Genomic DNA, 16805 nt, shown 5'->3' on the forward strand with positions numbered 1-16805 from the left:
GCCACATTGGCCAGGCTTGTCTCAAACTGCTGACCCTTCAGATGATTCGCCTGCCTCAGCCTCACAAAGTGCTAATGTGAGCCACTGCGCCCGGCCCCATTGTGTTCTGAGGTCTTACTTTATGTAATGTCAGTTTTCTTAAATTTATTTATTTATTTTTTTGAGACAGAGGTTCACTCTTGTTGCCCAGGCTGGAGTGCAATTGTGCGATCTCAGCTCACTGCAACATCCGCCTCCCAAGTTCAAGCGTTCCTCCTGCCTCAGCCTCCCAAGTAGCTGGGATTACAAGTGCCTGCCACCACGTCTGACTAATGTTTTTTTTTTTTTTTATTTTTAGTAGAGGTGGGGTTTCACCATGTTGGCTAGGCTGATCTCAAACTCCTGACCTCAGGTGATCCACCTGCCTTGGCCTCCCAAAGCGCTGGGATTACAGGTGTGAGCCACTGTGCCTGGCCAAATTTAATCTATTTTTATTTTTATTTTAAGTTTGAGGCAAGATTTCACTGTTTCCCAGGCTGGAGTGCAGTGGCACTATCATGGCTCAATGCAGCGTTGACCCTCCTGAGCTAAAGTGATCCTCAGACCTCAGCCCCTCAAGTAGCTGGGACCATAGGTGTGCACCACCACGCCTGCCTAAATTTTTAAGTTACGTTTATTGAGACATATTTTATGACCAGTAGAATGAGTGTCCAGCTTTTGTAGGCTGTAGTGTTATTGTCAATTAGCTCTAGTTGGTTGATAGTGTTTTTAGGAGTTACCTATTGTTGTGTAACAAATCACTCTAAAACTGAGCAGCTTAAGACAACAGGCATTTATTATCTCATAGTTTCTATGGGCCACGAATTTGAAAGTGGCTTAGCTGGGTGGTTCTGGTATAGCATCCCTCATGAGGTTATAATAAAAATCTAAGTTGGCACTGTAATCTTCCAGAGGCTTGGTTGGGACTGGAGGATCGACTTCTAAGTGGGTTACTCACATGGCTGTTGACAAAGAGGGTCATTTTCTAACCATGTGGGCTTATCATAAGCCTGCTTGAAAAACTTCCTTTAATATTTCTTGTCACCGGGTATGATAGCAATGAAATGTCCCAGCTTTTGTTTGAAAAGCTTTTTTATTTTTATTTTTTAAGAGACTGGGTGTTGCTATGTTTTCTAGGCTGTCTTGGCCTCCCAAGTAGCTGGGACTGTAGGTATGTGCCACCACACGGGCTTGAAAGAGTTTATTTCTCCTCAGTTTTGAAGGGTATTTTCTCTGTGTGTTAAGAATTCTAGATTTTCGATGTTCTTTGTATATTACTTTTCATTTAGTACTTTATTTATTTATTTGAAATTTATTTATTTATTTTTGAGACAGAGTCTCTCTCTCTTACCCAGGCTGGAATGCAATGGGGTGATCTCAGCTCACTACAACTTTTGCCTCCCAGCTTCAAGCGATTCTCCCGCCTTAGCCTCCTGAGTAGCTGGGATTACAGGCACCCTCCACCACACCCAGCTAATTTTTGTATTTTTAGTAGATATAGGGTTTCACCATGTTGGCCAGGCTGGTCTTGAACTCCTGACCTCAAGTGATCCACTCACCTTGGCCTTGCAAATTGCTGGGATTACAGGTGTGAGGCATTGTGCCCGGCCTCATTTAGTACTTTAAATGTCTCTCCATTTTGTTCTGGCTTGCATGATTTTTTACAAAAAGTCTCCTGTTATTTGTATCTGTTCCTTTGTATATAATGAATCAGTTTCTTCTGGTTACTTTGATTATTTTCCTCCTAATCACTGGTTTTCAGCTATTTAGTTGTCATGTGCCTCACCATGGCTTTTTTTTTTTTTTTTTTTTTTGAGATGGAGTCTTGCTCTGTTGCCCAGGCTGGAGTGCAGTGGCGTGATCTCGGCTTCACTGCAAGCTCCACCATTCTCCTGCTTCAGCCTCCCAAGTAGCTGGGACCACAGGCACCCACCACCATGCCTGGCTAATTTTTTGTGTATTTGGTAGAGATGGGGTTTCACCGTGCTAGCCAGGATGGTCTCGATCTCCTGACCTCGTGATCCACCCGCCTCGGCTTCCCAGAGTGCTGGGATTATAGGCGTGACACACTGCACCTGGCCCTCAGCATGGCTCTTAAAAAAATATTTATTCTGTTTGGGGTTTGAGTATTTTGGATCTGCAATTTTAGTTTTTAACGAATTTGGAAGAATTTCAGCCACTAATTCTTCAGATTTTTTTTTGTTTCCCCTCCTCTTTTTTGGGATTCCAGTATAATGCAAGACCACCTTGTTATTATCCCACAGCTCACTGAGGTTCTGTTTACTTTTCTAGTCTCTGTGTTTTATTTTGGATAATTTTTATTGCTGTGTCATTAAATTCACTGATCTGTTTTTTCTAGTGTCATTCTACTGTTAATTCTCTCTGGTGTATTCTTCATTGCTGATATTTTATTTATTTATTTATTTATTTATTTATTTATTTTTGAGATGGAGTTTCACTTTTACTGCCTAGGCTGGAGTGCAGTCGCATGATCTTGGCTCACTGCAACCTCCGCCTCCTGGGTTCAAGCGATTCTTCTGCCTCAGGCTCCTGAGTAGCTGGGACTACAGGGGCACGCTACCACACCCGGCTAATTTTTGTATTTTTTTAGTGGAGACGGGGTTTCACCATGTTGGCCAAGATGTTCTGGATCTCCTGACCTTGTGATCCACCCGCCTCGGCCTCCCAAAGTGCTGGGATTACAGGCGTGAGCCACCGCACCTGGTCTTATTTTTTAATCTCTACAAGTTTGATACAGTTCTATTATATATCTTCTATTTCCATCATTATGCTTTCATTCCTGTCCTTTCTCTTCTTGAACAAATGGAAAATAGGTTTGTTAGTCTCATTATCTCCATCACTTTTGGGTCTATGTCTGTTAATTTTCTGCTGGTTATGGATCGTATGTTTCTGTTTTTGTTTTTTGTTTGTTTTTGCATGCCTAGAAAACATTGATTGTATGCCAGAATTTCTGCACTTTATGTTGTTGATTGTGGATTAAGTTGTCTTCCTTAGTGAGGGTTGGATTTTGTTATGGAGTGCAGATAAGTTACTTGGACTCAGGGCTTATCTTTAAGCTACATTAGTGTGGGTTCAGAGCAACCTTTAGTCTCAAGTGAATTTATCTGCACTGGTAATGCAGTGCCCTTCAGAAGATTCTACGTGATTCCCATTTATTTTGAGGTTTCGCCATTCTCGCTGTTGGGAACATGAACTAATTGTTTAAGATGAGGGAGTAAATTTGGTCCTTGCTACTCCATCTTGACAAGTTTTTCCTCAGTGTGAGTTTTTCTGTTTTTTTTTCCTCAGTATAGTTTTAATGTGTTTATTGACTGACTTGAGCATCTTTTCATATGGTTAAGAACGATTGGTATTTCCGTTTCTCATTTTCTCTTGGATTGTCTTAGGAAAAATAGCCTTGTATTAGTCAGGGTTCTCTAGAGTGACAGAACTAATAGGATATATGGATATATGAGATGGAGTTTATTAAGGAGAATTGACTCACACAATCACAAGGTAAAGTCCCACGATAGGTCATCTGCAAGTTGAGGAGCAAGGAAGCCAGTGGTGGATCAGCCCGAGTCCCAAAACCTCGAAAGTAGAGAAGCCGACACTGCAGCACTCAGTCTGTGGCCACAGGCCCGAGAGCCCCTGGCAAACCGCTGGTGTAAGTCCAAGCGTCCAAAAGCTGAATGAAGAACTTGGTATCTGATGTTCAAGGGCAGGATGCATCCAGCACGGGAGAAAGATGAAGTCTGGAAGACTCAGCAAGTCTGGTCTTACATCTTCTCCTGCCTGCTTTTTTCTAGCTGCTCTGGCAGCTAATTAGATGGTGTCCACCCAGAATGAGGGTGGGTCTGCCTCTCCCAGTCCACTGACTCAAATGTTAATCTCCTTGGGCAATACTCTCACAGATACACCCAGGAACAATACTTCGTATCCAATCAAGTTGACAGTCAATATTAACCATCACAAACTCTTTGACCAGTTATGAGTTGCAAACCTTTTTTCCTACTCGTCTTTTCAAAAACAAATGCCGGCTGGGTGTGGTGGCTCACGCCCGTAATCCCAGCACTCTGGGAGGCCGAGGCGGGTGGATCACGAGGTCAGGAGTTTGAGACCAGCCTGGCCAACATGGTGAAACCCCGTCTCTACTAAAATTACAAAAATTAGCTGGGTGTAGTGGCGGCGCCTGTAATCCTGGCTACTCGGGAGCCTGAGGCAGGAGAATCGTTGGAACCTGGGATGTGGAGGTTGCAGTGAGCCGAGATCGCGCCACTGCACTCCAGCCTGGGTGACAGAGCAAGACTCTGTCTCAAAAAAAAAAAAAAAGAAAAGAAAAAGAAAAGCCCATGGGCATTTATTTTTGTACAGAAATGTTTTCTTGTCAATTTTTATGTTTATTAATTTTATGTTTATTAATCTTTTATGTTTATGTAGTTATTAAAATCTGGTGGCTTCTAGATTTTGTCATACTTAAGCTGTCTCTTCTACACAATTATTAAGTAACTCTCCCTACACCAAGTTGCTTCTAGAACTCTAATGATTTCACATTTTACATTTACCTTTTTGATATGTTAGGAATTTATTATCAAGGTATAAGATGTGAGGAAGTTCCTCCCGCCTACCCCCAACTTTGCTGGTTTACCCAATTATCTCAGTATCATTTCTCTGATTAAGCCCTGTTTTCTGCATAGATTTGAATTTTGCCTTTATTGTAAATTCCACATGTATTTGGTTCTATTTCTGGACCCATATTATTTTTCATGTACCGTTACCATATTGTTTGTTTCTGCTTCAAGGTTTCAATGTATATTTACTGTCTTAATAGTTTAATAGATTTTCAACATCTCTATTTTTACTTTCAAGTTTTCTGATCTTATGTGCATGCCGTAATTTAATTTAAAATTTTTAGTTTTCATAAATTTTTTTTTTCTGGTACCTTAGGGCCCACTAAATAGTACTTAAACCCGTGTAGATGGAATTTAAAGTTTTTTCTTTTCGTTCTTAGAATTTATCTAACAGTTTTAGACATGGGATGGAGCTGTACTTTAGTCCTTCCTATTAGCGATGTAGAAATGTATATTTAGAAAAATGGCCCAGGAATATGTATAGGTGAATTTGGAACTGAATTTCTGATCTCCCTTTCTCTGCTTTGTAGTTTACTTAATTGTATTCATCATCATTGTCTATCTCTGTCCTACAGAATGTTAGCTTCCCAAAGGCTGGAATCAATACTTCTGATGATTTCAACTTTAAAATAAGTTTTCATCTCTGATAAAGCTACTTCACTTTTATTACTCTTGTTTTTCTGAATTTTCTTAGTGATTCTTAGTTTTCCATATGAACTTTAGAATCAGCTTGTTTATTCTTTATTGTTATTTTCACTGGATCATATTAAATATATAGATTGGTTTAGGTAGATATCATATATGTTTATGGTATGCCTTTTATGTCATTTTGGGCTTTATCCTAAATATCTTTTGATAATTTTGTTAAAATTTAGTCAAATATGTCATTTAATGTTTCTGAGATTTCCCCACCTGTCAGATGAAGGGCACAGATTATATCATCAGGGCTTTTAACATGGGGCGGGGGTATGACTCTCCAGGAATCTCCATGAATTATCCAAAATTATATGCAGAATAATGTGTATCTGTATAATTTGTTGCAAAATAATGTGTAATGTGTGTAGTAAGTTGAGAATGGGATGTTCTTGCCAAAGGCTTACTTGTAGGGGAGCTTATTATCTCACATACTTTTCAAATTCTTGAAAAATGTGGTTTCGTTATTTGAGTTGGCCTCTCCTTGCCCTCCTTCTCCCCACCAAATATCAGTAACTTGCAAATAGACCACCAGAACCCCTGCCTCTCCTTTTGTTTCCTCTCTCCTCTACTTCTCCCACAGTCCAGGAGATTTACTTTTAGTCATTTAAATTTGATTTCAGAGGAATCATAAGGAGAGTTTCTGGGGGTAATGTTCTGTTTCTTGATCTTGAATTGGCATTTACATGAGTATGTTCATTTAGTGATATTTCATTGAGTTGCATACTTAACCTTTTAGGCAATTTGTTATCGGTTATGCTTCAGTGAAAAATTTTAAAATGATGATGTCAAACAAAATTTAGAGAAGTCATTTTGTCTAGTATTTTTTTAGTTCTATTTTATCATTCTATTATTGCTGTAACATCCTTCCCCACTAAGGACTATTTAACCTTCTTAATCTTGCAAATCTATTGGGTTCCTTGAAGAAAGTTATCTGTGACCTCTGAGCTGCTAATGTGAATGTATTACTTCCTGCCTTATTTTTAATTTAGAGCTATACCAGTTGTCTAGAAAGCTCTTCTCTTGTTCACTTGGGGAGAGATTGTTAATACATGTTTATATGCAGTTTCATTTGTCAGGTCTTTGACTGATTTTACTGGTGTCTTTTGGTTAGCTCACTTGACTTACTGGTTCTACCTGTAGCCGTAGTTCATTGCTGATGAAGTGACATGAATTTTAGGATCAATTTAGGCGTTATAAATGGAGTAAATTTCTTGATGGCGGAATTGGTACAATCTAAACACACGAAGTAAAAATAGCAAACTTTCTCCCTTATCCTCCTCCAGAGCTTTGCATGCCTAGCCTACCTCCTTCATGTCATTTTGGCCTATAGCCTAAATATCACCTCTTCAGAAAGGCCTTCCCTGACAAACCCAATCTAAAGGAGCGCCATGGATACTTTTTATGTATGGTGCTGTCAAATACTTTCTTTTTCTTTTCTTTTTTTTTTGAGACAGGATCTTACTCTGTCATCCAGAATGGAGTGCAGTGGGATGATCTTGGCTCACTGCAACCTTCTGCGTACAGGTTCAAGTGATCTTCCTACGTCAGCCTCCTGGGTAGCTGGGATTATAGGTGCATGCCACCACATCTGGCTAATTTTTGTATTTTTTGTAGGGATGGGGTTTTACAGTGTTGCCCAGGCTAGAAATAATTTCATAGAATTTATTACTATCAGATATTTCCATATTCTTGTTTCTCTCTTTCCTCCTTCCTCAGAAAGTTAGCTCCATGAGGACAAGGCCTCCATATTCCCAGGACCTATGTGCCAGGCATGTAGTAGCTCTTCAAAAAAAATTTGAACAACTGGGATTATTAAATGGGTCGCAGATTATTATTTAATTGGATGCCCTTAAAATAATTTTGTTGGCCAGGCACAGTGTCTCATGCCTGTAATCCCAGCACTTTGGGAGGCCGATGCAGGCAGATCACTTGAGGTCAGGAGTTTGAGACCAGCCTGGCCAACATGGCCAGGCAAAACCCCATCTCTACTAAAAATACAAAAGAAGGCCGGGCGCGGTGGCTCACACCTGTAATCCCAGCACTTTGGGAGGCTGAGGCAGGCAGATCACGAGGTCAGGAGATTGAGACCATCCTGGCTAACACAGTGAAACCCCGTCTCTACTAAAAAAAATACAAAAAAATTAGCTGGGCATGGTGGCGGGTGCCTGTAGTCCCAGCTACTCGGAAGGCTGAGGCAGGAGAATGGCTTGAACCTGGGAGGCGGAGCTTGCAGTGAGCCAAGATCGCGCCACTGCACTCCAGCCCGGGTGACGGAGCGAGACTCCGTCTCAAAAAAAAAAAAAAAAAAAAAAAGAAAGAATTAGCTGGGTGTCATGGCACATGCCTGTAATCCCAGCTACTCTGGAGACTGAGGCAGGAGAATTGCTTGAATCCGGGAGGTGGAGGCTGTGGTGAGCCGAGATGGCACCAAGGCACTCCAGCCTGGGCAACAGAGTGAGACTCCGTCTCGAAAAAAAAATTTTTTTTTTTGTTCTACTATTAATTAAGTCTTTGTTTCAGCAAGTCTTTTTCTAAGACTTGATAAAATATTAATAGTAATTTTAAAAAAGATTTTTTTAAGAGACAGGGTCATGCTATATTGCCCAAGCTGGTCATGAATTCCTGGGCTCAGGCAATCTTCCTGCCTTGAACTGAGTATTATCAATTCTTTATTGAGCATCTGCTATGTTAAATGGTCAGTCCCCACACTATGCTTAGCCTGAATTACAAAAACCAGTATTTTTCGTCAGTCTTACAGTATATTACATCCACTTTGGACAGTTCTGCCGTACTGACACTAGTTCCCAGAGTTTGATTTTTTTACTTTTTTGACCATTAAGTTTTTAATCTCCAGTCTTCTGATACACTTCTGTAACCTCAGTCTCAAAATTACTTAGACCATTCTTGCTGTTCCTTTGGCTTAGCTACTTGGTACTCTGTTCAAATTTTTCTTTACTCCACCCAGTTGCTCTTTGGAATTGGTTTCTTTCCTGCACAAAGTGTCCAAGAGAGCTTTCTGTGTTTTCTAATCCTTTCTCTTTCTGCTTTCCAGCTCTCAATTCTTTTATTGCATCCTTCAGTTTCATGCCCAATTATGTTTTCCTATTCTTCTCTCCTGGCTTTCCTTTCATCCATTTTCTCTCCTTCACATTTATGCTTACAGGCTTTTTAATTAAGTTGTCTTTGATCACAACTAGCTCTCTAATCTGTCACACAGGCCAGATTCTCTTTTATCTTTAAAAGCTTTTACAGGCTGGGCACGGTGGCTAACGCCTGTAATCCCAGCACTTTGGGAAGCTGAGGCTGGTGCATCACCTGAGGTCAGGAGTTCGGGACCAACCTGGCCAACATGGCGAAACCCCATCTCTACTAAAAATACAAAAATGTAGATGGGCATGGTGGTGCGTGCCTGTAATCCCAGCTACTCGGGAGGTTGACTCAGGAGAATCGCTTGAACCCGGGAGGCGGAGGTTGCAGTGAGCTGGTATGGTGCCACTGCACTCCAGCCTGGGCAACAGAGCGAGACTGTGTCTCAAAAAAAAAAAAAAAAAAAAAAAAAAAAAAGCTTTTATGGGAATACAGCTTTTAAAACGTGTACTTGATTTTCTCCAGCCTGGGCAACAGAGTGAGACTGTGTCTCAAAAAAAAAAAAAAAGCAAAAAAAGCTTTTATGGAAATACAGCTTTTAAAAAGTGTACTTGATTTTATTTAGATATTGTGTGTCCTAGCTGGAAGAAGTTTTTTTGTTTTTTTGTTTTTTTTTTTGAGATGAAGTCTTGCTCTGTCATCCAGGCTGGAGTGCAGTGGCGAGATCTCAGCCCACTGCAACCTCCGCCTCCGGATTCAAGCCATTCTCCTACCTCAGCTTCCTGAATAGCTGGGATTACAGGCATACGCCACCATGTCTAGCTAATTTTTGTATTTTTAGTGGAGACAGGGTTTCACCATGTTGGCCAGGCTGGTCTTGAACTCCTGATCTCAAGTGATTCGCCCACCTCGGCCCCCCAAAGTACTGGGATTACAGGTGTGAGCAACCGTGCCCGGACTGGAAGAAGTTCTTAAATTCATTTTTTCTTTTAAATCAAGGTTTAAACCTTAAGGTGTAATGCTTCCTAACCTTTATCATAATATGGCAGATGTGGAAAATAGTATTTGGATGGGACACAGAGGCAACTGAGGAGGCTGCTCAGGCTCTGCCTGTGTGTCTGCCTTGAGGACCAAGGAAAATCCATCTCTGCACTGTAATCTGCTGACCTAACAATTGAAAGACCTACCTGAAGGGTAGATAGACTTCAGCAGAGTGTGAACATGCTAACTTTTATTTTGTATTTATGTATATATTTTCTTAAGAGTTGTAACTTTCATTAGATTCTCAAAAGGGTCCTTGAAGCAAAAAAGAATACCAATGATGTTTTAAATTGTGGAGGTAAAACCAAATGTATGGCATAACTTATTTTTTGTTTTTGGTTTAAATTTTTCCTTTTGATTACAAAGTTGTATGTATGTTTGTTATATAAAATTCAAACATTATACGTAGAATTAACGTCCTAAGTAGAAGTATATCATATCATACCCTCAGTTAATTTCTACAAAGTTTGGTATGTATTTCTGAAAATGTTTTTCTTCTTATATATATTAACATTTGTTTCCCTTCTCCAAAATAGTATTTATAGAAGAGATTAAATGTATATACAATTCATTTCTCACTTAATTTATCTTAGATATAATTATACTTCAGTGCTTATTGATCTACCTCATTTTTGTAAAAATCAAAATATGTTATGGATCTGCCATAGTTTGGTTCACTTTTCTTCTATGATTAAATGCATGCATTTTTAACTTTTTTATATTGTAAATGGAGGTATAATAAACATCTTTGCAAGCATATTTAGGAGTATTTCTGTATAATAAATTCATAGAAATGGAAATGCTAAGCTTGTGTTACGAACATTTACAATTTTAATAGATATGGTCAAGTGCCACCAAAAACTCAACCTGTTTTACACTTCCATGTATACAACAAAAATTTCTGAACATGCTTTCAACGAATTAGTAAAGGGAATCTTTCCTGATCTGCAAGATCAAAAACTGTTTTTATATTATGAAAATTTCCAAACACATGCAAAGGTAAATACAATAGGATGTTGAACCTTCCAGTGCCAATCATGCAGACTCAACATTTTTAAAGATTGTAGCCACATTTGCTTCAACTGCTTTTTTCCCTTTCGCAGAGTATTTTAAAGCAATTCCCCCAAATCGTGTTATTTTACCCAGACATGCTTCAGCATTCATCTTTAAAGAGTAGGGATTTTTTTTTCTTTTTAAGATTTTTAGTTTTTTAGTATAGAAAATTTAAAACATATATAAAAGCAGTCAGCACAATGAACCTAACTAGTATGATCTTTTTATTAGGGAAAATATCCCTTGGTGTCATTTTTGACTGAAAGACAAATTTAAATTACAATCTTTTAAATGAATTCCTTAAACATCAGAAGAGAGTACTTTATTGACTTTGATATCTATCCACATTCTTTTTCATGAACATAACAATGAAACCTCATGTATCTCTCAGTTTCAACAAGTAGCAATTCAGAGCTGCTCTTGGTAAACTCCCGCCTACTTCCCTTTATCTCACCAAATTATTTTGAAGCAGGTCCCATATATTAGAGCGTTTCATCTGTAAATCCCTGTCTCTGTCTAAAAGACAGGGAATTTACTTTTTTTAAATTTTTTATTTTTATTTAAGACAGAGTCTCATTCTGTCATCCAGGCTGGAGTGCAGTGGCGCACGATCTCAGCTCACTGCAGTCTCCACCTCCCGGGTTTAAGTGATTCTTGTGCACACCACCACGCCTGGCTAAGTTTTGTGTTTTTAGTAGAAACAGGGCTTTGCCATGTTGGCCAGGCTGGTCTTGAACTCCTGACATCAAGTGATCTGCATGCCTTGGCCTCCCAAAGTACTGGGATTATAGGCATTACAGGCATGAGCCATTGCACCCAGCTGGGAATTCACTTTTAGTGATAATCACAGTGTTGTTGTCACACCCACATAAAATAATTCCTATATCATCAAATAACCACTAACATTTTCTTGTATAACCACAATGGCATTATCACACTAATAAAATCAACTGTAATGAACTAGTACCCAGTTTATAATCAGATTCCCTCGGAAAGGAATTTCCTTTTTGAAAGACTAAAATATGCCTTTCAAAAATTCTTTTCAGAGTTGGTTTGTTAGAATTGGTTTACATATTGCATGTGCTTATTGGGTGTTTCAAGCCTCTTTTAACCTAGAGTAGCCCTGGTACCCCTTTATTCCCCTCTGTCACTGACAGGTTACAGAAACTGGGTCAGTTGTCCTGTATAATGTCTCACATTCTCCATTTGTCTATTTCCTTTTTTGTAGTGTATTTAACGTGTTCATTTATCTCCCGTACGTCTTGTAAATGGAAGTTAGCTCTGGAGACATGGTACCATTCAAGTTCAGTTTGTTTGATAAGAACATTTCATAAATGGTGTTGTGTGCTTTACTCACATCACAGTCTCTCTGCCTTTTTTTTTTTGTTTAAACTTCTGGTGATGCTAAGATTGATAAGGTTTTTTTTTTTTTTTTTTTTTTTGAGATGGAGTCTTGCTCTGTCACCTAGGCTCGAGTGCAGTGGTGCGATCTCGGCTCACTGCAACCTCTGCCTCCCGGTTTCAAGTGATTCTCCTGCCTCAGACTCCTGAGTAGCTAGGACTACAGGCATGTGCCACCATGCCTGGCTAATGTTTTGTATTTTTTAGTAGAGATGGTGCTTCACCATGTTGGCCAGGCTGGTCTCAAACTCCTGACCTCAAGCAATCCGCCCATGTCAGCCTCCTAAAGTGTTGGGATTAAGGACGTGAGCCACCTCACCCAGCAGATTGATAAGGATGTAATAGTCAGATATTTTTCTTATGTAACCACAATATTGTTATCACACCTAATAAAATTAACTGTAATGAACCAAAGAACTGTAATGAACTGTAAGTAACTGTAATGAAAATTTCCCCTCAAGCTTTCCTCTAATGGCTCAATTGCATGGGTCAGTTATTTCACTAGATATCACAAAATGGTTTCTCCAGTTATTCATTTTTTGTTTTAATAAAATTCATTGCTTTATTAGAGAAAACTGGAGCATCTTTCCATTTGTTTATTGGCTGTTTGGTACTTGTTTTGTGAATTGTTCATGACCTTGCTTGATTTTTCTGTTGAATTCCTTTATTTTTCTTATCCATTTTTGAGAGTTTGTAATCATAGCTATTAATCTTTTATCTCATTTATAAATTGTAAATATTTTTTCCAGTTTGTTACTGTCTTCTGTGTAGAAGCTTTTGATTTACATAGTCAGTTTTTTTTCTTTTGTGGCTTTTGGTTTTAAGTCTTAACTTAGGCTTTCTATATTCTGAGATAATGTAGGAAAATAGTTAATTATCTTCCAGGCTCCATTTCTTACATTTGATTTTTAATGTATTCCAGAATATATTTCGTATATAGTATAAGATAGGAATCAAATTTGCTTCCTGCATTTAAATAATAGTAAATTTTGTTCTAAAGTAGTTTATTAAGTCTTCTTTCCACTATATTGATTTGAGATGTCACATTTATCACAAATTTGTATGTTCTTTTTCTGGACTTCATTATTGTTCATTTTAAATTAAGTTTTTTTGGTAGACTGGGTCTCGCTATGTCACCTAGGCTGGTTTTGAACTCCTGGCCTCAAGTGATCCTTCAGCCTCAGCCTCCCAACATGCTGGGATTACAGGCATGAGCCACCATGTCCGGCCCATTGTGGTCCATTGATGTTAGCACATTACCACAGAATTTTAATTAAAATAATTTTATACTGTGCTTTAAGGTCCAGTTCATTATCATTAACCTTTTTTTTTCAGGCTTTAATAGTATTTTTCACAAATATGATCTTCCATTTGAACTTTAGAATTAGTTTGTGATTAATTCTATTGGGATGTAAATCTAATGGCATTAAGTCTGGGGAAACTGTCTTTTATTATTATTATTATTTTTTTTTTGAGACAGACTGTCACTTAGTCACCCAGGCTGGAGTGCAGTGGCACGGTCTTGGCTCACTGCAACCTCCGCCTCCCAGGTTCAAGCGATTCTCCTGCCTCAGCCTCCCAAGTAGCTGGGACTACAGGCATGTGCCACCATGCCTGGCTAATTTTTGTATTTTTAGTAGAGATGGGGTTTTGCCATGTTGGCCAGGCTGGTCTTGAACGCCTGACCTCAGGTGATGCACCGGCCTTGGCCTCCCAAAGTGCTGGGATTACAGGCATGAGCCACTGTGCCTGGCCAAAACTGTCTTTAAAAAAAAAAAAAAAGATCAATTTTTCTGTTTAGGAATGTTGTTTTTCTCTATTTATTCAGATCTTTTATATTTTACAGCTTAAATAGCTTCTCTTCCCTTCTACTTATTTCTAGGCATTTTACATGTTTAATGTGGTAATTATGTGTTTGGTCACAGAATAACTTATTTGTGATTATTTGGATGTTGACTATAGAATAGTTTTCTTCAGGGTGGGGCACAGTGGCTCACAATCCCAGTACTTTGGGAGGTCAAGGCTGGAGGATCGCTTGAGGCCAAGAGTTGTACATCAGCCTTGGCAATGTAGCAAGACCCTGTCTCTACAAAAAGTAAAAATAAAAAAATTAGCCAGACATAGTGGCACATGCCTGAGGCTGAGGTGGGAGGATTGCTTGAGCCCAGGACTTCCAGGATGCATGTGAGTGACAAAGCGAGACCCTGTCTTTAAGGGAAAAAAAAAAAAAAACAGTTAACTTCATTTTTGCTTAAGCATACCAATCATACTTAAAAATGAATATAGGCCAGGCACAGTGGCTCACGGGGCCGAGGCGGGCGGAGCACCTGAGGTCAGTAGTTTGAGACCAGCCTGGCCAACCAACATGGTGAAACCTCGTTTCTACTAAAAATAAAAAAAATTAGCTGGTGTGGTGGTGCACACCTGTAGTCCCAGCTACTTGGGAGGCTGAGGTGGGGGAATCGCTTGAACCTGGGAGGCAGAGGTTGCAATGAGCCGAGATTGTGCCACTGCACTCCAGCCTGGACGTCAGACCAAGACTCTCAAAAAAAAAAAAAGAATATAAACAAGATTAGAAGGAATGTATACACTTCAGTGTATAAACTTTTAAAATAAACTTCAAGGTTTTGTATCACTTACCTATTCATTAATGCAATAAGTTAGAAATAGGAAAAATGTAAATGCTTTTAAAGTGATCAACTTGTACTTAATGGTTTAAAAGAGTGGAAGTCATAAAGTGGTACCTGAAAGTAATAAATTTCAGTTAAAAAAAAGTGCCCTGTAATGAGATTTTCTTTTTGTATTCTACTTGGAGTTTAACTATTAATAGTATGGGTCTTTTCTTGGGAAAAATATACCTGAGTGCCATTTTTTGTATAAACACTGGTTTAAAATTACATTCTTTTAACCTGGTACCTTAAAAATCATAAAGGAGGATTTATTGGCCTATATTCCATTTACGAATATTGTAAATAGAAATAATATATTTTTAGCTGATTAGACATTACTGTTAATTTTTTTCTTTTTCATATTACAGGTTTTGCAAAAGGCATCAAATTAAATCAAGTTCAAATATTCCCTGTGTCCCTAAAGACTTACTGATGATGTCTGAATTTGTTCTTCCAAGATTTATATTTTGTCTTATTCAGTACTTAAGAGAAGGCTATAATGAACCAGGTATGTTTTAATCTACTTCTTGTTAGTACTCTTTTTAAATTGTAAATTTACAAAGTTTTAGTATTAATTATGAGGTGAATTTTTTTAGATATCTTTTTTTGTTTAACATTTAAAAAGAGATGACTATAAAATACGGATTGAATAGAAACACACTAAAAATTAATTATATAACCTTATATGTTGCAGTAGATGTAGTTTCGTGCTTTCTGCTTCCGGGGTCATAAATGTTTTTGATCAAACTTATTTGAGCTTTTGCAGATGAGGAAGTAACCATTTTGTGGGGTTAACGTGACTTTATTTGCAATATTATGATAAAGCAGAATTGAGAACTCCTGGAAATGTTTAAATTTAACTTAGATTTTTAGAAGATAAAATGTTTTATCAACTTTTTTTTAGAAGTCTGTATATATTTTTATTCTCTCTATATATTATATAATAACTTATGATAGGGTCAAATTGCTGACTTCCAGATTACTGGTAGAATATATGGGTGTGTAATCATCATGTTAATATTTAAAAGAGAAAATTACAGATGTTCTTCTTACTTTTTAAGATTTAATCACAATCTTGATTAACATACTTCAGTTAGGTAAATATTTGGATTTAGGTATCTATTAAAAGTTCTCAGTCTGACATTGTCAGTTACAGATATTCATTAGTAGTATGAATCAAATTTATTAACTTTTTATGATGTTTTTTACCTTTCTAATGATACTTGAATTTCTGTTCTATAAGAGATTACATTTTGCATTATTTTTAGAGGTTTAAAATTATTTAGTACTATAAATAATTTTATATTCATTTTGAAACTGTGGCACACATTTTCATCTTCTATCTCCATCCTTAAAGTGTAGGGGAATGTTATATAATGTCCTCATTTCTAAAACTGTCTTGTTATCTTTATTGTGAGCAAACCATTATACTTCCTTATTTGTACATTTTAAGCAAAAATATACAATCCTTTGTTAAGTACTTCTACTTAACAGAGTATATATCTTAAAATATAGAAAAATAAGCTGGGCATGGTGTTTCATACCTGTAATCCCAGCACTTTGAGGGGCTGAGGGAGGAGGATTGCTTGAAGCCAGGAGTTCAAGACCAGCTAGACAACATAGAGACTCTGTCTTTACAAACATTTTTAAAAGTTAGCTGGGTGTGGTGGTGGCATGTGCCTGTAGTCCTAGCTACTTGGGAGGCTGAGGCAGGAGGATCCCTTGAGCTCAGGAGTTCAAGGCTGCAGTGAGCTATGATTACATCACTACACTCCAGTCTGGGTGACAGAGTGAGAGTGTGCCCTGTGCCCCACACCGCCCCCCAAAAAAAAGAACAGAAAAAAGAATATATAAAGAAAAATATTATTTTGATTTGGTTTCAAATTACTGTCTCTTCGGAATGAAGGAACCAGTTACTAGCTGGGTTATTGAAATTGCCTTATGCATTATTTCTTATATACTAGTTAGGAGACCTTTTTGGGAATTTATGTTTTGTATTACAGGTGTCCTATTTTAGAAATAGAAATTATTTATTATGAGAACCTTAAAGCTTATCATTAGTTTAATGAAAGAGTACTTCACATGAAAGTGTCTTATATTTTTTGTTGTTGACATAACAGTTATAAAATGTAGACAACGTAAGTACATAGCTTTATAATTATCTGTTATCTGAAAACACGAAGGAAAAAATGGAAGCATTTTTTATCTA

At 38.0% G+C, this 16805-nt stretch overlaps 1 protein-coding gene across 1 annotated transcript in view; it reads left to right on the forward strand.

Moving 5' to 3' along the window:
- The window catches only part of UBR3 (ubiquitin protein ligase E3 component n-recognin 3), a 256678-nt gene that overhangs the window by 29818 nt on the left and 210055 nt on the right, over positions 1 to 16805 (forward strand). Inside the window, exon 2 of the mRNA NM_172070.4 lies at positions 14965 to 15104. Within this exon, the coding sequence (NP_742067.3) occupies positions 14965 to 15104 (140 nt within the window). The remainder of the gene's footprint in view (positions 1 to 14964; positions 15105 to 16805) is intronic.

This window comes from Homo sapiens, chromosome 2, assembly GCF_000001405.40.
Source record: "Homo sapiens chromosome 2, GRCh38.p14 Primary Assembly".
Lineage (NCBI taxonomy): Eukaryota > Metazoa > Chordata > Mammalia > Primates > Hominidae > Homo > Homo sapiens.